Raw genomic sequence first — 23,332 nt, forward strand, 5'->3', positions numbered from 1 at the left:
TGCAGCCTCCACCTCCCAGGTTCAAGCGATTCTCGTGCCTCAGTCTCTCGAGTAGCTGGGATTACTGGTGCCCACCATAACGTCCAGCTAATTTTTGTATTTTTAGTAGAAACAGAGTTTTGCCATGTTGGCCATGCTGGTCTAGAACTCCTGAGCTCAAATGATCCACCCGCCTCAGCCTCCCAAAGTGCTGGGATTACAGGCGTGAGCCACCATGTCCAGCCACAGTATTTCTTTTCTAATTACTACATACTTTAGTTTCTTCAAGTGATTTAACTTTTGTTATGCAAGTTCTTTTCACCACTTCAACCAAGGCTTATTAGCAGTAGAAAATAATATTCTAGACAGGTTTTTTTTTTCTGGCCATAAGATTTAAATATTCTACACGCATATTTTCCCTTAATGTTTTGCTTTGCATGTGGTAGACATGCAACATGTATATGTGAATGATTGATAGGTAGCCATGAAATGTATAATTTCCCTATTGTTTAGGTATAGCTCTTCCATGAAACCTTAAATGTAAACAAATTTTGACAGTTGCCTGTTTCGCTTTTAGTTAGAACTGCTAAATCTGTACAGTGTCATACATGTTAAGCAAAGCACTGTCTGTGTTTTCTTAAAGTGTCAGAAAAGGTAATTCGTTCCTGTTACCAAGTGATCCAGCATAACTAGGATGGTGGTTTTTTGTTATTGTTTTTGTTTTGTTTTGTTTTGTTTTTTGAGACACAGTCTTACTCTATACTCTTGCCCAGGCTGGAGTATAGTGGCACAGTCATAGCTTACTGCAGCCTCAACCTCCCAGGCTCAAGCTATTCTCCCATCTCAGCCTCCCATGTATCTAGGACTACAGGCACGCACTACCACACCCAGCTAATTTTTTTGATTTTGTGGAGATGTGGTGCAAGAGTGGTCTCACTGTGTTACCCAGGCCAGTCTCCAGCTCTTGAGCTCAAGCAGTCCTCCCAAAGTGGTGGGATTATAGACAGGAGACACCATGACTGGCCTATAACTAGTTTTTATACTTAAGTGGGAAGATTGTTCTTTATGTTCTGATCTCCAAGAACTTTAAATAATTGTATGCTGCTGGCCAAGCATGGTGGCTCATCTCTGTAATCCTAGCACTTTGGGAGGCTGAGACGGGAGGATTGCTTGAGTCCAGAAGTTCAAGACCAGCCTGGGCAAAATGGTGAGACCCTCTCTCTAAAAAAATTTTTAAAAATTAGCCAGGCATGGTGGTGCATGTCTGTAGTCCCAGCTACTCAGGAGGCTGAAGTGGGATGATTGTTTGAGCCCTGGAGGTCAAGGCTGCAGTGAGCCATGATCGTGCCACTGTACTCCCATCTGGGCCATAGAGTGAAACCATGTCTCAAAAAAAAAATTGTATATATATGCAAATTGTAAATGTATGCAAAAATCTCTTAAGTTCTATTGAAGGTATGGAATGAGATAATCAAAGAGTTTCTAATAAGCTCTAAAATGCTTGATTCTATTATACTGTTCATTTCCAGGCCAATTTTTTAAATACAATTTTTCATGAACATAAAATTATGATGTATATATAAATATGTAGTAGAACACGATAGGGTGACTATAGTTAATAATATATTGTATATTTAAAAATACTAAGAGTGAAATTGGAATGTTCCTAACACAAAGAAATGATAAGTGTTTGAAGAGATGGATACCCTAATTACCACAATTTCATCATAACACATTGTATACCTATATCAAAATATCACACATACCCTGTAAATGTATACAACTATTATGTACCCATAATAAAAATTTTTAAAAATGAAAATATACATAGTAGAAAATAAACACGTGCTTTTCATTTTCTTTAAAACCCTTTAAACAGAAAGATGTATTTCAATTAAAAGACTTGGAGAAGATTGCTCCCAAAGAGAAAGGCATTAGTAAGTACCAAAGTTATACTGGAATGTTTTGGGAAATATACTGGGATGTTTTGGGAAATATCTTAATATTCATTAAGTCATCTTTTCTGCAACAGTCTTTCACTTTATGGAAAACCTAAATTTCTAGAGACAAAGAAATCATCACCATCCAAAGATAACCACTGTCATGTTGTCCTTTATTTTTCTGTATAATACATCCTGTATATTACATTTTGAATATATATCCCTGTCATTAAATATCCTTTTATAACATAAATGATTGTATAGTATCCCATTGCAATAAAAAAATACTTTTAAAAATCTAGTTGATAAGCTGGCTGGTAGCGCACACACACTTGTAGTCCCAGCCACTCTGGAGGCTGAAGCGGGAGGATCACTTCAGCCCAGCTAGGCAACATAGCAAAATCCTGTCTTTAAAATAAAAATCCAGTTATTAGACTGGTTTCCAATTCTTTTGCTGTCGAAAACAATGTGTTGACAGGCATCCTTCTACATATCTATTATTTTTTGTTTGGCTGTATTTATAAGGTGGAATTTCCCCAGGAAAGATATGTATAAATTGGGCTGGGCGTGGTGGCTCACGCCTATAATCCCAGCACTTTGGGAGGCCAAGGCAGTTGGATCATGAGGTCAGGAGATCAAGACCATCCTGCCTACTAAAACCCCGTCTCTACTAAAAATACAAAAAAATCTTAGCCGGGCGTGGTGGCAGGCGTCTATAGTCCCAGCTACTCAGGAGGCTGAGGCAGGAGAATGGCGTGAACCCAGGAGGCAGAGCTTGCAGTGAGCCGAGATCGCGCCACTGCACTCCAGCCTGGGTGACAGAGTGAAACTCAGTCTCAAAAAAAAAAAAAAAAAAAAAAAAGATATGTATAAATCTGAAGTTTTAGATACAGATTGCCACGTTTCTCCACCCATACTGAGAGTACCCATTCAAGTATCCTTGAATTCTTTATTGTATTTTTTAGTGTTTTTAATTTGGTAGTCAAGTCATGTCTAATTGCTTTATTTTCGATTTCTTCAGTTATTAATGGGGTTGAACATTTTTCTCATATATTGGCCATGCATATTTTATTTTATTTATTTATTTATTTGTTTATTTATTTATTTGAGACAGAGTCTACTCTGTCACCCAGGCTGGAGCCCAGTGGTCCAGGCTGGAGCCCAGTGGTGCAGTCCTGGCACACTGCAACCTCTGTCTCCCGGGTTCAAGCGATTCTCCTGCCTCAGCCTCATGAGTAGCTGGGATTACAAGCTCCTGCCACCATGCCCACCTAATTTTTGTATTTTTAGTAGAGATGGGGATTTGCCATGTTGGCCAGGCTGTTGTCAAACCGCTGACCTCAAGTGATCTACCTGCCTTGGCCTCCCAAAGTGCTGGGATTACAGGCATGAGCCACCATGCATATTTTATAGATGCACATTGATGTATTTTTTGTGTGTCTTTTGTTGTGTTGTTTCAAAATGAAAAAACCTCTTTTATTATGAGTATACATACAAGTGAAACCAGACAACCACTGAGAGTCCCTCACACTTTTATGTACACCACACAATTATTCTCTTTACAGTCATCAGTGAACAATTGGTTCTGCTACTTCTTAAAGATATGCAAATTTCTTAAGTTTAAATACACAGTTGACCCTGGAACAACACCTATGTTGTTCAAGATTGGGATACCAATCCCCCACACAATTGGAAATCTGCATGTAATTTTTGACTCCCCCAAAACTTAACTACTGATAGCCTGCTGTTGACAGGAAGCCATACCATGTATTTACTATTCATTAAGTGGCAGTGGATCATCATAAAGTTCTTCATCCTTGTCATCTTACATTGAGTAGGCTGAGGAGGAGGAGGAAGTGGTGTTGCTGTCTCAGGTGGCAGAAAATCCATGTATATAACTGGACCCATGCAGTTCAAACCTGTACTGTTCAAGGGTCAACTATACAATATTAATTACACCAGTGTCCTAATGTCCCCAGACAAATTGTAGGTAATGGAATCTCAACTGTATCTTGAAGGATCAAAAACAAAAAACAAAATTCAATCCAGTCTACAAGATGGAAAAATTTATTGTATTAACTAAATTCCTTTTCTTCTTACCTATTTTCCCTCCCAGTTATTGACAATTTTTTTCTGCAGTATAAGATGATGGCCAAATTACCCAACATCTTTTTTAAAAAAGAAACATTATTTAGAAAAGGAAAAGATACCATATAGCAACAGACTATGAGTGTTAACACCATTAAAATTATTTACTAAGCACTGATGCTAGCATCTTCTATTACTAGATAATCTATTGGGAGAGAAAAACTTGCATTTCTGTAGTTTTGTTTTGCTTTTTCAAAGGCTTCTCACAAGTAACATTTTATTGACATTACTGCTATGCACCAAAGTAAGTATGGAAATGATCATATCTAATAGATTTTTTAAATTAGGCATAAAGAACAATTTGCCCTAGAGTCATCCAGTGTTACTGCTAAGAGTTAGGATTAGAACTCAGGTCCTGTTCTTAATCCTGTATATTACTTGTTTTCCCCTAGGCTCCTGTATAAGTCATGCTTTGCTTAAGGATGGGGATACATTCTAAGAAATGTTTCCTTAGGCAGTTTCATTGTTGTGCATGTTGTTATTTTTAAGAGCTTATTAACTTTTTAACTCTTGATTTGTGATATGTTTTGCAAGTGTTTCCCCAGTTATTTGTCCTTTAATTTTATTTATGGTGTTTTTCTAACATAGAGTCTTTAAAAATTGTCTCTTAGCTGCTATGTCAGTAAAAGAAGTCCTTCAAAGCTTAGTTGATGATGGTATGGTTGACTGTGAGAGGATCGGAACTTCTAATTATTATTGGGCTTTTCCAAGTAAAGCTCTTCATGCAAGGAAACATAAGTTGGAGGTTCTGGAATCTCAGGTAAGCTGCCACAGTTAAAAAGAATAGAGTTGCTTTATAACGGAGAGTTGTTTTACTTCATCCTCTTTTTGTTTAGCAGTTTCTTTTGAATTTTTGATATGCATTATTTGACTGAAAGTCTAAAGATAATTAACATCTGTTTCTCCTAAACAATATGAGGAACTTAGAACGTTTTAATTTTCATCTTCCCATATGTCAAGATATTGTTTTTGTTGTTGCTGTTTTTATTGTTTTTTAATTTTCTCTTTATCAATAGATGGTTTTTTGGAAGCAGTTTTAGACTTACAGAAAAATATTGATGGAAAAGTACAGAGAGTTCCCAAACGTGCCCTTTCTCCCTCACCACGCACACAATTTTCCCTGTTATTGACATCCTATACTAGTGTAATATGTTTGTCACAATTGAGTCAATATTGATTTATTACTAACTAAATTCCGTAGCTTACATTAGGGTTCAGTCTTGGTGTTATACATTATGTGAGTTTTGACAAATGCATGATGACGTGTATCCACAATTATAGTATTGTACAGAATAGTTTCACTGCCCTAAAAATCCGCTGTTTCCTACTTGTTCATCCCTCTCTTCTCCCGAAACCGTAGCAACCACTGATCTTTTTACTGTCTCTATAGTTTTACCTTTTCCATATAGTTGGAATCATACAGTATGTAACCTTTTCAGATTGGCTTCCTTCCCTTAACAAAATGCATTTGAGGTTTCTCCATGTCTATTAATGGCTTGATGGCTCATTTCTTTTTATTGCTGAATAATATTTCGTTATATGAATATACCACAGTTTGTTTATCCATTGAGCTATTGAGGAACATCTGGGTCACATCCAAGTTTGGGCAGTTACAAATAAAGCTGCCATAAGCATTCATGTGTAGGTTTTGTGTACACATAAATTTTCAACACATTTAGTACCAAGGAGCGTGATTGCTGGATTGTATGGTAAGTTTATGTTTACTTTCTAGGAAACTGCCAAAGTATCTGTTTTTGCATTCCCAACTACAGTGGGTAAGAGTTACTATTGGTTCACATCACTGCCAGGATTTGGTGTTGTCAGTGTCTTGTATTTTAGCCATTCTAATAGATGTGTAGTGGTATCTCATTGTTGTTTTAAATTGCCATTCTCTAATGACATATGATTTGGAAGATCTTTTTTTTTTTTTTTTTTTTTTTGTGAGACGGAGTTTCACTTTTTTTGACCAGGCTGGAGTGCAATGGTGCGATCTCAGCTCACTGTAACTTCTGCCTCCCTGGTTCAAGTGATTCTCCTGCCTCAGCCTTCCAAGTAGCTGGGGTTACAGGTGCACACCACCACACCCAACTAATTTTGTATTTTTAGTAGAGACGGGGTTTCACCATGATGGCCAAGCTGGTCTTGAACTCCTGACCTCAGGTGATCCACCCACCTTGGCCTCCCAAAGTGCTGGGATTACAGGCATGAGCCACCACACCCAGCCCTGGAACATCTTTTTTTATGCTTATTTGTCATCTATGTAAAAGGAGGTGTTTAGATCTTTTGCCCATTTTTCAATTGGGTTTTTGTTTTCTCGTTATTGAGTTTTAAGAGTTCTTTGTATATTTTGGACACCAGTTCTTTATCAAATATGTGTTTTTCAAAGATTTCCTCTGAGTCTGTGACTTATCTTTTCATTATCTCAACAGCATCTTTCACAGAGCAGTTTTCAATTTTAATGAAGTCCAACTGGTCAATTTTTTTCTTTCCTGGGACATTCTTTTGGTGTTGTAACTAAATAGTCGTGGCCAAATCCAGGGGCATGTAGATTTTCTCCTATGTTACCTTCTAGGAGTTTTGTAGTTTTGCATTTTACACTTAGATTTATTATCCATTTTGAGTTAATTTTTGGGAAAGGTGTAAAGTGTGTGTCTAAATTCAATTTTTTGTACATACATGTCCAAAGTAACTGTATTTTAGTATAATTTACTTCTTTTCTGTATGTGTGTGTGTGTGTGTGTGTGTATATATATATACACATAAAAATACACACATATATACACAAAAATATATAAATATTTTTATATAAATAAATAAATAAATAAATACTATAAATATTTTTGTGTGTGTGTGAGACAGGGTCTTGCTTTGTGTGTATATGTATATACACATATATACACACATATACATATACACATATATACACATATATTCATATATACACATATATACATATATACACATATATATACACATGTATATATAACTACTAAAGTACCCAGGGTCTTGCTTTGTCACCCAGTCTGGAGTGTAGTGTCGCAAACATGGCTCACTGCAGCCTCGACCTCCCAGGCCCAAGCCATCCTCCCGCCTCAGCCTCCTGAGTAGCTGGGATTATAGGCACACCACCAAACTCTGCTAATTTTTGCACTTTTTTGTAGAGACAGGGTATTGCCATGTTGCCCAGGCTGGTCTTGAACTCCTGAACTCAAGTGATCCACCTACCTCAGCTTCCCAAAGTGCTGGTGGGTGAGCCACTGCGACCGGCCTGTAACCCTGTGCACTTTATGGATTTAAAAACACTTCAAGAAGGAATCCGTACTGAAGGACATCCTTTAGTAATTTGTTCAGCCAGAGTTTAAGAGTGGTAAACTCTCAATCTTTGTTTGAAAATGTCTAATTTATCATTGCTTCCCGAATATAGAATTCTTAGTTATTTTTCCTCAGCATTTTGAAAATATTACTTCATTGTCTTGTGGCATATGTTGCTAATGAGATGTTTTGCTATCATTCTGATTGTCTTGTTTTCCTTAGTAATCTCTCTTCTGTTTGCTTTTAAGATTTCCTTCAGTCTTTGATGTTATGTTTTGATGTTTTATCATGAATCCGAGTTTGCATGTTTTTATTTCCTCTTCTTTAGGACCCTGGCTGCTGCTTCCATGAAATAATTAAAGTCTCCTATTATAGAAAATTCTGGCTGGGCGCAGTGGCTCACGCCTGTAATCCCAGCACTTTGGGAGGCTGAGGCGGGCAGATCACGAGGTCAGGAGATCAAGACCATCCTGGCTAACACGGTGAAACCCTGTCCACTAAAAATACAAAAAAAATAGCCGGGCGTGGTGGTGGGTGCCTGTAGTCCCAGCTACTGGGGAGGCTGGGGCAGGAGAATGGCATGAACCCGGGAGGTGGAGCTTGCAGTGAGCCAAGATCGCGCCACTGCACTCCAGGCTGGGCAACAGAGCAAGACTCAAAAAAAAAGAAAAAAAAAAGAAAATTCTAAGGTGGTATTACTTAAGCTGTTTCCTGTTCCCTAATAGCTCTGTTCTTTCCTTCTGGGATTCCTATTTGTATCCTCATTCTATCGTCTATGTTGTTTAAGAACTCTTTATTTTTTCCATGTCTTTCCATGTCTGTGATTCATTGCAGTTAATTTTCTCAGCTCTCTTTCACTTACAGTTCTTTCCATAACTATTTCTAATCTGCTACTTAGCTGTTCATTAAGTCTTTATTTTAATAATTAGATTTTATCTCTAGAAATTCTATTTGGTCCTTTTTCAGTTCTGCCTATCCTGTTTTTCCTATACTGTTCTATTTCATTATGGCTTCTATTGCTTTCATCTCTTTTATAACTTTAAACATACTGATATGGCTTGGATCTGTGTCCACTCCCAAACCTCATGTCAAATTGTAATCCCCAGTGTTGGAGGTGGGGCCTGATGGCAAGTGATTGGATCTTGGGGGCGGTTTCTCATGAATGGTTTGGCACCATTCCCTCAGTGCTGTTCTTGTGATAGTGAGTGAGTTCTCATGAGATCTGGCTGTTTAAGTGTGTAGCACCTCCCCCGCTTTCAGTCCTGCTTCTGCCATGTAAAATGCCTGCTCGCCCTGAGTAAAGGATCCCTGAGGCCTCCCCAGAAGCAGAAGCCACCATGCTTCCAAGTAGAGCCTGCAGAAGCATGAACCAATTAAACCTCTTTTCTTTATAAATTACCCAGTCTCAGGTATTTATAGCCATGTGAGAACAGCCTAATACACATACTTAACTTATATTTTCAGATTACTTAAATATGTCAAATTTGGGGAGGGCTATTAATTTGATCTGTGTATCTGCTGGCTACTACCATTTGTAGTATTTTTTTAACCTGTATGTTTTTTAGTTTTTATTTATGAGCTCACATTCAATTGGTGATGTTTAGTCTGTGGGAGCCACAGATGCTCTGTGAAATAGTGGTTTAGGCTTGTTTTTTTTAGTCTCTGGGTACTTTAGTAGTTATGGACCAATTTTTATATTAATTTCTTGGCTTACAGTTCCACCGCCTCATGTTTTATACAGGATGAGTACTGCATAAAATTTAGTATGCATGTCTATACATGGCATGGATTGAGAGATTTGTTTTCCTATAGGTGACTTTCCCCCACCCCCACATGAAGTGCAAGATGGAGGTAAGCTCCTTGTTATTTTCCATGGAGTTTGCTGGTACTTTGAGCTATATGCTGGAGCTCAGTTCTAGCTCTCCTTGTCTCATGACCCTTCACACCTGTTTTCCTGGTGTGCATGTTAGACTCCTAGCCCCTAGTTACTTTTCTGTTGTTGCTCTTTGTTTTTTCATTTCTGTCACCTGGGGATAGTTCTTTTTTTTTTTTTTGAGATGGAGTTTCGCTCTTGTCACCCAGGCTGGAGTGCAGAGGCACAAACTCAGTTCACTGCAACCTCTGTCTCCAGAGTTCAAGCAATTCTCCTGCCTCAGCCTCCCAAGTAGCTGGGATTACAAGCGCCCGCCACCACACCTGGCTAATTTTTGTATTTTTGGTAGAGACAGGGTTTTGCCGCTTTAGCCAGGCTGGTCTCGAACTCCCGACCTCAGGTGATCCACCCGCCTCGGCCTCCCAAAGTGCTAGGATTACAGGCATGAGCCATTGCACCCGGCCTTATTTTATTGTTTTATTCATCATTCAAAAAATGTTTTTGCATGTTTTTTGAGTAACAGAAGATGTGCTGGATTTTGGAAATACATGCCCTCAGAGAGCTTTCAGTCAGTTGTAGGAGGACAGTGGGAGAAAAGGAAGAGGCTAGAGAAGGATTGGTGAAGAGATAGGTAGAGGCCATGTCTTATAGGTTCCTCTGTGGCATGATCAGGAGTTCGGACCTACCTAAGAGGGATGGAAAGCCAATGGAAATTTTTACCAGAGAAGTTACATGATGATAAATGCCTTTCTGAAGACAGTATGAAGAGCAGGTTGAGGGAAATGGAGCCTAGGATCAGAGAAATCAGCTATGCGGCTATTGTAATTGCATGGTTAACAAATGAGGACCCATATTGAGGTATCTGCACACTCACTAGGATGGCTACTATCAAAAACACAGAGAAGGCCAGGTGTGGTGGCTTATGCCTGTTATCCCAATACTTTGGGAGGTCGAAGTGGGAGGATCACTTGAGCCCAGGAGTTCACGGCCAGCCTGGGCAACACAGCAAGATTTATTACAAAATAATAATAATAAATTTTTTTCAAAAGAGAATAATAAGTGTTAGCAAGGATTTGGAGAAATTGGAGCTCTTGTGCACTGTTGATGGGAATGTGAAATGGTGCAGCTGCTGTGGAAAACAGTATGGTGGCTCCTCAAAGAGTTATAAATAGAATTACCCTATGATTCAACAATTCTGTGGTGTGCATCTGTGGTCTCAGCTACTTGGGGGGCCTGAGGTGGGAGGATCACTTGAGCCTAGGAATTCAAGACCAGCCTGGCAACATGGCAAGACTCCATCTCTACAAAAAAATGGTAAAAGTAGCTGGGGATAGTGGCAGGCTCCTGTGGTCCCGGCTATTCGAGAGGCTGAGGTGGGAGGATCGCGTGAGCCTAAGAGTTTGAGGTTGCAGTGAGCTGTATTCGTGCCACTGCACTGCAGGTTAGGCCACAGAGTCAGACCCTGTTTAAGAAAAAAAAAAAAAATCCATTTTTGGTACATATCCAAGACTTGAAAGCAGGGTCTTGAAGAGCTATTTGTACACCCACATTCATAGCAGCATTACAGTAGCTGAAAGGTAGAAGCAACCCAAATGACTTTCAATGAATGAATAAACAAAATGTGAAAGTGGAATATTATTCAGCCTTAAAAAGGAATGGAATTCCTTTTATTTATTTATTTAGAGATAGAGTCTCACCCTGTTGCCCAGGCTGAAGTGCAGTGGCACAGTCATAGCTCACTGCAGCCTCAAACTCCTGGGCATAAGCAATTCTCCAGCCTTAGCCTCCTGAGTAGCTAGGATTGCAGGCTCATCCCACCACAAGGAATGAAATTCTGACGAATGCTACAAAATGGATGAACCTTGAGGGCAATATGCTAAGTGAAAAGCCAGTCATAAAAAGACAAATACTCTATGATTCCACATATATGAGGTATCTAGAGTAGTCAAACTTACAGAAATAAAAAATAGAATGAGGCCTGACATTGCTGACCTTGGAAGATAGTTCCACTGGCACTCCTGTCCCTGACTGAAGAACCAGATGTTGTTGCCACCAAAAAAAAAAAAAAAACTATCCAAGCTACCAGTGACAATTCTGGAAGGTATGTGTCATTGGCTAAGCCTGGGTCACGTGTCCACACTCTAGTTGCCAGGAGAGCTGGCGAAGTAAATAATTGGGGTTTCTAGATTTTGTAGTAGGAGTTAGCTGCTTCCTGTTGGCACAAACAGTTCCCCAAAACAGAAGCAGGGTTCAGATGCTGAGCAGCACCCTTGCTCCCATGATAGATAACTCATAAAATAAGAGAAAAAACTCTAGAAAGGAACACAGGACATGGAGTCAAAATAACAACAAATTTATTGAATACCACTATCTGTTGTGTGTTAGATACTGTTCTAGGCACTTGGGATCCATTAGTTAACAAAGGTTGAAAGCAGGGAGATCAGATAGGTTATTGGAATAATCCAACTGTAAAGTTACAGTGGTTTTTTTATTTATTTTATATTTTTTATTTAAGAAAAAGGAAAGAGAAGGCCTCAGAAAAGAGAGGATCTTTTTTTTTTTCTTTTTAAGAGATGGGGTCTTGCTCTGTCACCCAGGCTGGAGTGCAGGGGCACAATCATAGCTCACTGCAGCCTTCAACTCCTGGGCTCAAGCAGTCCTCCCATCTCAGCCTCGCAAAGTTCTGGGATTACTGGTGTGAGCCATTGTGCCTGGCCACGGTAATGATGGTTTAAACCAAAGCAGTGGCAGTGGATTTGTGAAAAAATTGTTGGATTCTGGACGTAGTTTGAAATTAGAGCCAGTAGGATTTCCTTATGGAATGGATGTAGAGTGTGAGGTCAAGAAAGGAATTGTATTAGTTTTTTATGGCTGCCATAGTAAATTAGTGCAAACTTGGTGGCTGCAAATGCAAAAATTTATTCTCACAGCTCTGGAGGCCAGAAGTTAAAAATCAGTGTTACTAGGCCAAAATCAAAGTGTTGGCACAGCTGTTGCTCCTCCAGAGGCTCTCTGGGATAATCTTCCTTGCCTCTTTCAATTTCTGTGGGCTGCCAGCATTCTTTGACTTGTTGCTGCATCACTCTAATTTCTGCCTCTTGGTCACATTGCTTTCTGCTCTGCTGTATGTGTCAAATTTCCCTTTAATAAGGATACATGTGATTGCATTTAGGATCTGTCATAGTAATCCTTGAGATCAGTAATCTCATCTCAAGATCTTGAATCCCATCTGCAAAGTCTTTGCCACATAAGGTGCCATTCACAGGTTCCAAGGATTGGGACCTCCTATCTTTGGGGGACATTATTTAACCTACCACAGCAGTTGTGGATGAATTTTTTAAAAATTCAACTAAGATAGGGAAGACTGCAAGAGGAGCAGTTTCCTAAAGGAAAATCAGAAATTCAGCTTTGACCATGTTAAGTTTGAAGTGACTGTTAGACAAAGAAGTGGAAATATCAAGTAGACAATTAAATATATGAATCTGTAGTTCAGAGACAAGTCTTTATAATTTAACCAACGGCTTCACTAATCTCACTGCAGATGGGGGAGTCCTCACTGAACCCTGACTCTCAAGTTGTTCCACATTTTCTTTGAAGTTATATATTTAGAGTGTTATTGGTTACAAGTACTAGGACATTACTCACACTAGTGGGTTTGTTTTAAGGAACTAGAAATAGGAATGGGAAAACATGTAAGAATAATAACTGGTATTTATTGAGCACTTGTGCCTGGCAGTGAACCATGGTCCTAAATATATTATCTCATTTAATCCCCACAGTATTATGAGGTTAGTATTATATTTGTTTTATAGATGAAGAAACTGAGACACAGAGAGATTAAGAGCTTGTCCAAGGTCTCACAGTAAGTGTGGAATTGGGATTCCGTCTCAGGTATTTTGACTCCAGGGTCCTCATTCTTAATCACCGCTTCTCAAAACAGGTAGCCTGTCTTTCCATTCTCCCCTTCTTACTCTCCCCGCCTCTCCCCTTGGCTGCCAGAGTTGGGTGGAATGGAAGTCTCAAAAGAGCGGTGGCTGGGCAGATATTCTAAAAGTGCTCACCTTATCTCTCTTTTTTTTCAACAGCCTTGCTGAGATATAGTTTATATACCATATAATTCACCCATTTAAAGTGTATGATGTAATAGTTTTTAATATGTTCATTGATAGATGTACAGTCATCACTACAGTCAATTTTAGAACATTTTCATTACCTCAAACAGAAACGCTCTACTCTTTAGCTATTATTCTGAATCTTCTCAGCCCACTCCTCCCACACAGATCTAGGCAACCACTAATCTACTTTCTGTCACTGTAGATTTCCCTGTTCTGGACATTCTATATGAATGGAATCATATAATATGTAGTCTTTCATGACTGACTTCTTTCCCTTGTCATAGTATTTTCAAAGTTCATCTATGTTGTAGTATGTTTCAGTACTTCATTACTTTTTATGGCCAAATAATACTCTGTTGTACACATATACCACATCTAATTTATCCATTCACAAATACACCACATCTCATGTATCCATTCATCTGTTGATGGGCATGTGAGTTTTTTCCACTTTTTGACTATTCTGAATAATGCTGCTCTAAACTTTGATGTACAAGTTTTTGTGTGGACATATGTTTTCATTTCTCTTGGGTGTATACCTAGGAGTAGAACTTCTAGGTCATATGGTAACTCTGTGTTTAATTATGTGAAGAACTGCCAGACTGTTTGCCAGAGCAACTGCGCCATTTTATAGTTCTGATAACAGTGTGTTAGGGCACTCATTTCTCCACATCCTCCCAAAACCTATTTGAATTTTTGATTCTAGCCATCCTTGTGGGTATGAAGTGGTATCTCATTGTGGTTTTGGCTTCCATTTCTCTGATGACTGGTGATGTTGAGCATCTTTTCATGTGCTTCTTGGCCATTTGTATATCTTCCTTGAATAAATTTTTATTATATTCTTTGCCCATATCTCTTCTCTTAAACGTGATGCTGTATTTTTCTTTCCTGCTAGGAAACAACGTGCATATTCATCACTCAGCAAATTTTTAAAATCTTAGTTATGAATTTAGAAACTTTATACAAGGTAATTTACTTATGGGCCTTACTGAACTTCCCTGTCTTCATGTTTTTTTGTTCTTGCTTTTATCCTTTTTGAGAATTCCCTTTTCTCTCCTCTCTATTTAGCCAAATTCTAAACATCTCTCCTCTCAGAAACCTCCTCAAGCTCTCATTGCTTAAAATATTCTTACCCTTCTCTAACCTCCTGTAATATTTTTTATCACAAGTAAAATATATTGCTTTGGCATGTACTGCTGGTTGCCTAGCTAGTCAACATTGTCCTCCTCTTCTTCACTAACAAAACACTTTGTTAAAGGATAGTGTGTCTTACTAAAAAATACTCATCTTTCCAGACTCCCTGGCAACTAATGGTGGCAATGGGAAGCAGGTCTGATAAATGAGATGTAAGTAGAAGACTAGCTTTGACTTTCCTGGGAAAGTTTTCACTTTCCTGAAAAAGGCAAAGCTTCTTTCTCCTCTTTTCTGTGATATGCATTACTGAGATAAAAAGCATAAGGATGAAAGTTCTGTTCATTCATGTCCATATCACATTCTCAAAGAATGACAGAGCCTGGAAAAAAGATCTTGGGTCTCTGGTGGCATCATGAGATACTGTACTAGCCTTATTTAATCCAGTTTTAGTTAAATATTGTTATTTGTGGCCGAATGTGTATTCTAAATGAATACTACTGTTTTGTAGCCTTTAAAAAAAAAGTGTGATTTAGATTTTGTATTAGTTATCCATTGCTATGTAACAAAAATATGTACTCCAAAACAGGGTGACTTTAAGAAATACCAAAACAGGGTGACTTTAAGAAATAGACATTACTATCTCACAGTTCTTGTGACTCGTGAATCCCAGCATGGCTTAGTTGGGTACATCTGGCTCAAGGCCTTATGTGAGGTATAGTCAAACTGTTGGCCAGGGCCATATTCTCATCTGAAGGTTTATCTGGGAGAGGATCTGCTTCCAAATCCAATCATGTGGTTATTGGATTTAGTTCCTTGCAGGGTCTTGGGCTGCAGATCTCAGTTCTATGATGGCTTTTGGCCCAAGGCCTCCCTCAGCTCCTTACCACATGGTTTTCTCCGTAGTACAGCTCACAGTATGGCAGCTGGCTTCTCTCAAAGCAAGCTCATGTGTGAGAGTCCAAGACAGAAGCAGTAGTTTTTTTGTATCTTAATCTAGGAAACAACATCCCATCACCTCAGCCACATTTTATTCCCTAGAAACAAGTCATTAAATTTAGTTTACACTCAAGAGAGGAGATTACACATGAGCATAAATACAGGCATACCTCAGATATTGCAGGTTCAGTTCCATACCACCACAATAAAGGGAATAATGCAATAAAGTGAGGACAGAAACTTTTTGGTTTCTCAGTGCACCTAAAAGTTATATTTATACTATACTGTAATCTATTAAATATGTGATAACATGTTTTTAAAAACTAATGTACATTAATTTAAAAATACTTTATTGCTAAAAAATGCTGATGAGCATCTGAGCCTTCTGTGAGTTGTAATCTTTTTGCAGGTGGAGGGTATTGCCTTGATCTTGATGGCTGCTGACTGATCAGGGTGATGGTTGCTGAAGGGTAGATGGCTATAGTCGTTTTTTAAAAATAAGACAACCGTGAAGTTTGCTCCATTGATTGATTTCACAAAAGATTTCTCTGTAGCATGTGATGCTGTTTGATAGCATTTTACCCACAACAGAACTTTGAAAATTAGAGTCAGTCCTCTCAAACCCTGCCTCTACTTTGTCAATTAAGTTTCAGGAATATTCTAAATCCTTTGTTGCCATTTCAACAATGTTCACAGCGTCTGCATGAGGAATAGATTCCATCTCAAGAAACCACTTTCTTTGCTCATCTATAAGAAGCAATTCCTAGGACCAGGCTCGGTGGCTCAGTCCTGTAATCCCAGCACTTCGGGAGGCTGAGGCAGGCGGATCACTTGAGGATAGGAGTTCAAGACCAGCCTAGCCAACATCGTGAAACCCTGTCTCTACTTAAAATACAAAGATCAGCCGGACGTGGTGGCATACGCCTGGAATCCCAGCTACTCAGGAGGCTGAGACAGGAGAATCACTTGAACCTAGGAGGCGGAGGTTGCAGTGAGCTGAGATCACACCACTGCGCTCCAGCCTGGGTAACACAGCCGGACTCCATCTCAAAAAAAGAAGCAATTTCTCATCCATTTAAGTATTACCATAAGATTGCAGCAATTCAGTCACATCTTTATTCTCTGCTTCTCCTTCTCATTCTTATTCTTGCCATTTCCACCACATCAGTTACTTCTTCCACTGCAGTCTTGAACCCCTCAAAGTCATACATGGGGGCTGGAATCAACTTCTTCCAAATTATTATTAATGTTGATGTTTTGACCTCCTCCCCTTAATCACAAATGTTCTGTTTTGTTTTGTTTTTTGAGATGGAGTCTCACTCTGTCATCCAGGCTGGAGTGCAGTGGCGCGATCCTAGCTCACTGCAACCTCCGCCTCCCGGGTTCAGGTGATTCTCTGGTCTCAGCCTCCTGAGTAGCTGAGATTATGGGCAGGCACCATCACGCCTGGCTAACTTTTGTATTTTTAGTAGAGACAGGGTTTCACGATGTTGGCCAGGCTGGCCTTGAACTTTTGACTTAAGTGATCTGCCCACCTCAGCCTCCCAAAGTGCTGGGATTACAGGCGGGAGCCACCATGCCTGGCCACAGATATTCTTAATGGCATCTAGAATGGTGAATCCTTCCCAGAAGGTTTTCAATTTACTTTGCTCAGATCCGTCAGAGGAGTCACTGTGGCAGTTATAGCCTTACTGAAAGTTTTTCTTAAATAATAAAACTTGAAAGTTGAAATTACTCCTTGATCCACAGGCTGCAGAATGGATATTGTGTTATTAGGCATGAAAACGTTAATCTCCTTGTATATCTTCCTCAGAGTTCTTGGGTGACTAGGTACATTGTCATTGGGCAGTAATATTTTGAAAGAAATCTTTTTTCTGAGCAGCAAGTCTCAACGGTTGGCTTGAAATACCCAGTAAACCATGCTGTAAATCGATATGCTGTCATCTGAGCTTTGTTATTCCACTTATAGGGCACAGGCAGAGTAGATTTAGAATAATTCTTAAGGGCCCTAGGGTTTTCATTGAGCATTGGCTTCAACTAAAGTCACCAGCTGCATTAGCCTCTAATAAGAGTGTCAAGTGTCACCCTGGCCTTTGAAACTTTAAAGTCAGGCATGGACTTCTCCTCTCTAGCTATGAAAGTCCTAGATGGCATCTTTTTCCAACAGAAGGCTGTTTTGTCTACCCTGAAAATTTTTTGTTTAGTGTAGCTTGGCTAGGTCTTCTGGATAACTTGCTTCACTTCATAGTACTTGAAACCTCGTCTTGCACTTTTACATTATGGAGATGGCCTCTTTCCTTAAACTTTATGAGTCAACCTCTTCTAGCTTCCAACTTTTTCTGTGCAGCTTCCTCACCTCTCAGCCTACAGAGAATTGAAGAGAGTTGAGGTTTTGCTCTGGATTAGGCTTTGGCTTAAGGGAACGTTGTGGTTGGCTCGATCCTCTACCCAGACCACTAAAACTTTCTCTATCTCAGCAATACGGCTGTTTTGCTTTCTCATCATTTGCGTGTTTACTAGATTAGCACTTTTAATTTCTTTCAGGAACTTTTCCCTTGCACTCACAACTTGGCTCTTTGGCACAAGAGGCCTAGCTTTCCGCCTGTTTTGGCTTTTGACTGTATCTTCCTAACTAAGCTTAATCATTTCTGGCTTTTGATTGAAAATGAGAGATGTGTGACGTTTTTTCACTTGAATGCTTAGAGGCCACTGTAGGGTTATTAATTGGCCTAATTTCAATATTGTTTTGTCTCAAGGAATAGGGAAGGCCAAGGGAGGGTGAGAGATGGGGGAACGGTGAGTCACTGGAGCAGTCAGAATACACACAGCATATATTAAGTTCACTGTCTTATGTGGGCATGGTTTGTGACACCCCAAAACAATTACAATAGTAACATCAAGATCACAGATCACCGTGACAGATATAATAATAATGAAAAAGTTTAATGCAAGAATTACACAGAGACAAGAAGTGAGCACATGCCATTGGAAAAATGACACCAATAGACTTGCTTGACTCAAGGTAGCCACAAACTTAATTTGTAGAAAACACGCTATCTGAAGTGCAGTAAAGCAAAGCACAATAAAAACGAGGTATGCCTGTGCAAAGAGGGATCGTTCAGGCCATCTTAGAGGATATCATAGGATTTTTTTTAAAAAAAACTTTTTATGTGTGTATATCTTCTTAGTTTTTTAAAAGCAGCTCTAATGAGAAATAAATGACATACAAAAACCTGCTCATATTTAAAGTGTATTCTTTTATAACCTTTGGCATATGTATGTGTCCACGAAACTATCACCACAATCAAGGTAATTGAACATACCAATCAACCCTAAAAGTTTTTTTAATTCCCCTTTGTAAAATCATTCTCTTCCTTCCCTACACTGCTCCCCTCCTCCTATCCCCAGGAAACTTGCTTTGCTTTCTGCCACTATTCATTAGTTTGTATTTCCTAGAATTTTATATAGATGGCATCATGCCGTAGTGTGTACTTTCCCCCACCCCCAGCTTCTTTTACTCAATAAAATTATTTTAAGATTTACCCATGTTGCTTTATGTATTCATTCATTTCTGTTGCTGAGTGGAATTTCAGTGTATGAATATACAACAGTTTATTGATGAACATATAGGTATTAAGCTCTTTTATTGAATGCATAGACATTAAGGATTATGTGCCCTTGATGTATTTATCATTATGAAATGACTTATTTATTCCAGGTAATATTCTTTGTTCTGGTGTTACATAGGAACTCTTTCTTTTGAGTAACTCTTTCTATAGGAAATCTTTTTTTTTTTTTAATAGTAGCATGGCATATCTTTTTCTGTTTACTTTTAATCTTTTTGTATTTTCATATTTAGAGTAAGCTTCTTACATATAGTTGGGACTTGCTTTTTTTGTATAATCTGACAATTTCTGCCTTTTAATTAGGGTGTCTAGACCATTTACATTTAGTGTGATTACCTATGTAGTTATGTTAAATCTGCCATCTTATCTCAACTAGTCTCAAAGTTACTTGAGGACAAGAACTGTGTTTTATTTATTCAACAAATAATTATTGAGCCTCAAGTACTTACCTTCTTACCAGACAATCATTTCTTCCTAAAACTAGGCATAATGGGGGCTGATTCAGCATTTCTTGGTTGACTTCAGAGAAATTCTTTGCATTTGAGGGAAAAGGTCAAATATACGGTTTTTATTTCTTTACTTCTGGATTTCACATAATTTCTACTTAGAAAGTGGGGAAGCTTGCCAAATCTTAATAGAAGTAAGCAAGGAATTCTTGTTAGTACAGTGAATCTAGCTTTTAAAAAATTGAGCTTAATGTCAGTGTTTATTAATTCTGAATGAGAGAATTGGCATCCAGTGTATTTTGTGACATGGCCCTCTTTCCCCACTCTCACGTACCGGAGATCAAAGCTTAATCTGACACACCTGCTCATAAGTTGAAGTCACATCAGAGGCTAACACATAGGTAGATCCTATACCTCCTGTTCTAAGCAGTCCAGAAATAAATGAAGAGCAAGGTTTTGATACGTCATTTCTAAAAGGTTGATAGCCCTTGGCATTTGCTATAGATAACTATTTTTTTAACTCAAATAAAATGACCCTAATGCCATTTCGCAGACCTAAACCTACTTTAATCTTTCACTGGATGTTGAGAAGTCATGAGAGTATCACCCTGTGCCCCTCAGCCATTGTTCTGAAGATCACTTATCATTTTAGAGAAGCAATATGGCTTCATGGAAAGAGTAGTAGTTAGAAAGCAGACATGGATGGAAATCACAGCTTCACTTCTTGACCAGCTGTACAATATTAGAAAAATATCTTAAGCCTTTTAAAGCCTTGGTTTCCTAGTTTGTGAAAGAAAGCTTACACCTACTTCAAGGCGGTTGTAGTGAGGATTAAGTGGTATGTGTAAGATGCCTGGTACTTTAGGCAGTCAGTATATGGTGGCCGCAGATCAGCTAAATCAGTATTGACTCAGGAATAAATACCGTAAGCTTTTTCATTTAGTTAGAACAAATATTTGAGGGTCTACTGTGTGTAAAACATTTTACCAGATACTGAAGGTAGTTCATAAAAGTAGAGGTCAGGGTCCAGACTTCATAAGAAGGAACTTGTAACCTGTGCTGAAGATGAGATATATACACTTGGAAGAGTAAAATGAGTGAAAAGTAATACATGCCAGACTGCCTAAATGAGCATTAGAGATGAAAAATGCTTCAAGAGATGGTGGGATTCACATAAAGATAGAAGCCACTCAGTTCATGTTGGATTGAACTAGGTTCCAAACTTAAGGTTATAGTAAAGATCAGCTTATTCTACATATTGCCAAATTATAATGTTAACTTCCCTTGAGTTTCTTGTTAATTACTTCCAGATGGGGGTTGGGGGAGACTCTTTAATTTTTTTTTTTTCATCACTCTTCTGCCAGTGATTCCAATTATGTGCAGGAATGTTCTTGTCCCTTGAGAACAGACATTCTTATAAGCTGAAAAATCAGGAAACATTTTTTTCTCTTGCCTTTAGGTTGTATGTGTTGATTATTATTAAATACAGTCTATAAGCCTCATGGTTATAATTAACGTTTCTCTTTAACGTCTTCTAAGATAGCAGACAAACCAGCAACTGCTCATTGGCTGTGTTAACTTTGGCGGTTATTTTCTGTGTGGCTGCTCCGTGCATGTGCTGTGCTAAGTTTTTTGGGCAATAAAAAAATAATAGAATATGAGGTTCACATCCAGAGAATTTACACTTTAATTGGTAAGGCAAAATGAATTCCTGATATAGTTAATTAACTTATTGGAAAAAGTTATTTAACTGTGTAATGTTTAATGTATACTCAGTGCCAAATACTGTCTTTGCTATGGGTCCTAATTGTTATACAAGTTTAAAGGATGGCAGGATTTTTATACATTTATATAGCTATGGGAGACTTCTTAGAAATGATTATTTTGAGCTGAAAATTGGGTAGGTTTAGAGGGATGGAGGAAATTCCCAAGGGAAAACAGAAGGAATATTTATTGAGCACTTAGGTACAGTTTTAAGAGCTTTTGCATGTTTTGTATCCTTTGATTCTTACACTTGCATGAAGTACGTATTGCTGCTAACTCTATTTTATGTAAGAGAAAATGGAGGCACTAAGAGATTGAATAATTTGCCCAAGGTGACAGTATTAGTAAATGATGAAGCAAGATTCAAATCCAGGCATTCTTACTCCATAATCCTTGTTTGTAACCACAGATAAACAAAGCTTTAAAGCAGATTACATTTAGTGGATAGTTGGTGACCAGCTTGGAAAAGATATGCAATTTTTTGTTATATAGTAATGGGAAAATAAGGTTGGAAATCAAATGGAGGCCATAATATGGGGTGTTTTATGTTTGGTTGAATTTTGTTGTGTACATGTACACCAAGCAGAGGAAGCTGGAAATTTTCCTGTCAGAATGTTTTTATATTCTTTTGCTTACCTAATTGCTTAAAACAATTAGATTATATGTAAGCTTAGAAAATAGCTGTTATATTCTGATATTAAGCAAAAAATTTTCCTTCTCTGTATATGTGGTTGAATTTTGCTGAAAATAATTTGAGGTGTAGTGATTTATTTCTGAAAAGCTGAAATAAATCTTTGTATTGGCTTGGAAAAATAATTGTTAAACTAACATCTCTAGCTGTGACACAGATGCATTTCTGAAGACTTTTAACATAAATTAATAATTTTAATGGGCAAGAAAAGCTTTATGTGGAAGTGATGAAAGTGGTAGTGCATGTTCTAATCTGCTAGTTCTCCTGAAATATATGTAAATTTTTTTAGTATTTGGATGATAGTGAAGCAGCTATTTTGGCTCGACAGATAATAATTATAAAGATTAATTATGTTGTAGAAACTTCCAACTGAAATGACATTTCTCTGTATGCTGAAGAATATATAGAAATTATTAAAAGTCAAGAGATGACTTTTTCTTCTTGATAGCTATTTCTAGAATTTTAGCTGGAACTTGTTCATTTTCCCCCGTGTGGTAATGATTTAGTCACTGTGTGTGTGGATGTGTGTTTGTGGGTGTGTGCACACACACACTTGAAAGAGAAAAGGAGTGAGTGTGTTTGTGGTCTTTCTGAATATTTTTTCTAAGGAAAAGCCAGGTAAAAATGTGTAAGGATAGGTTCTTCCCATCATCTTCTGGTTCTCTTCTTTGCCCTTCCCAAATAACTTGGTCTTAAGAATGAAAGAACAATTCAACTTCAAGGGAATGACTTCCTCCATTTTACTTTGGCTTGTGTTAGTGGACATAGCATGGGGTACTGTGATGTGCACACAGCCAGGAAAGAGCAATGTTGTAACTGTTATGTTTAACCTGCTATTCCCCTGGAGTCACCTGGCAATACAGGAAGTAACTGACCACTACTGACTTGAAATGCACATTTTTTAGTCTTTTTCCAAAAAGAATAGAATTTCCAAAATTTATTTTTGTATTTGTACCCCTGTCCGTCCCTTCCACACTTCCTGTTCTGACTTACATATTCCTTTTCTCTGGTGCTGTGGTACCCCGAGCATAACTCTAATCTGCTGGACTATGCTACAATTGTTGGCTTACTCAACCCCATGTCTTAGTCAACTTGTATCAGTACCTAGCACCGTTTTTGGCATGTGGTAGATTCAAGTATTTGACAAGTGAATGAAAATTAAAGGAAATAAAGGGTATGAAGTTATTCTTAACAAAAACCTTATACTAATTTGGAGAATTTTATTAATATGGCAGCAAGTCTATGTAGTGGTTTTTGACTGAGTTTTATTTAAAGTTAATGGGTCAGAATTATGAAAATCAAAATCTTTATTTTGTTTTCTTCCCCTGCTGACCTCTTCCTTAGTTCTTCATCCAAGTTCTGGTTTAT

The 23,332-nt window shown here is 38.3% G+C and overlaps 1 protein-coding gene across 6 annotated transcripts in view; it reads left to right on the forward strand.

The window, feature by feature from the left end:
* MND1 (meiotic nuclear divisions 1) overlaps nt 1–23,332 on the forward strand; it is a 70,470-nt gene that overhangs the window by 9,147 nt on the left and 37,991 nt on the right. For 3 of the 6 annotated variants that reach the window (XM_005263275.3, NM_001253861.1, NM_032117.4), the window contains exons 3-4: nt 1,859–1,916; nt 4,679–4,827. In XM_005263275.3, coding sequence (XP_005263332.1) covers nt 1,859–1,916; nt 4,679–4,827 — 207 coding nt within the window. Of the gene's footprint in view, nt 1–1,858; nt 1,917–4,678; nt 4,828–7,707; nt 8,778–9,191; nt 9,231–13,064; nt 13,115–14,262; nt 16,045–23,332 lie in introns of those variants that run through there. The other 3 variants (NR_045605.2, XM_047416247.1, XM_047416246.1) reach the window with 3 other exon arrangements.

Source organism: Homo sapiens, chromosome 4 (assembly GCF_000001405.40).
Source record: "Homo sapiens chromosome 4, GRCh38.p14 Primary Assembly".
Classification (NCBI taxonomy): Eukaryota; Metazoa; Chordata; class Mammalia; order Primates; family Hominidae; genus Homo; species Homo sapiens.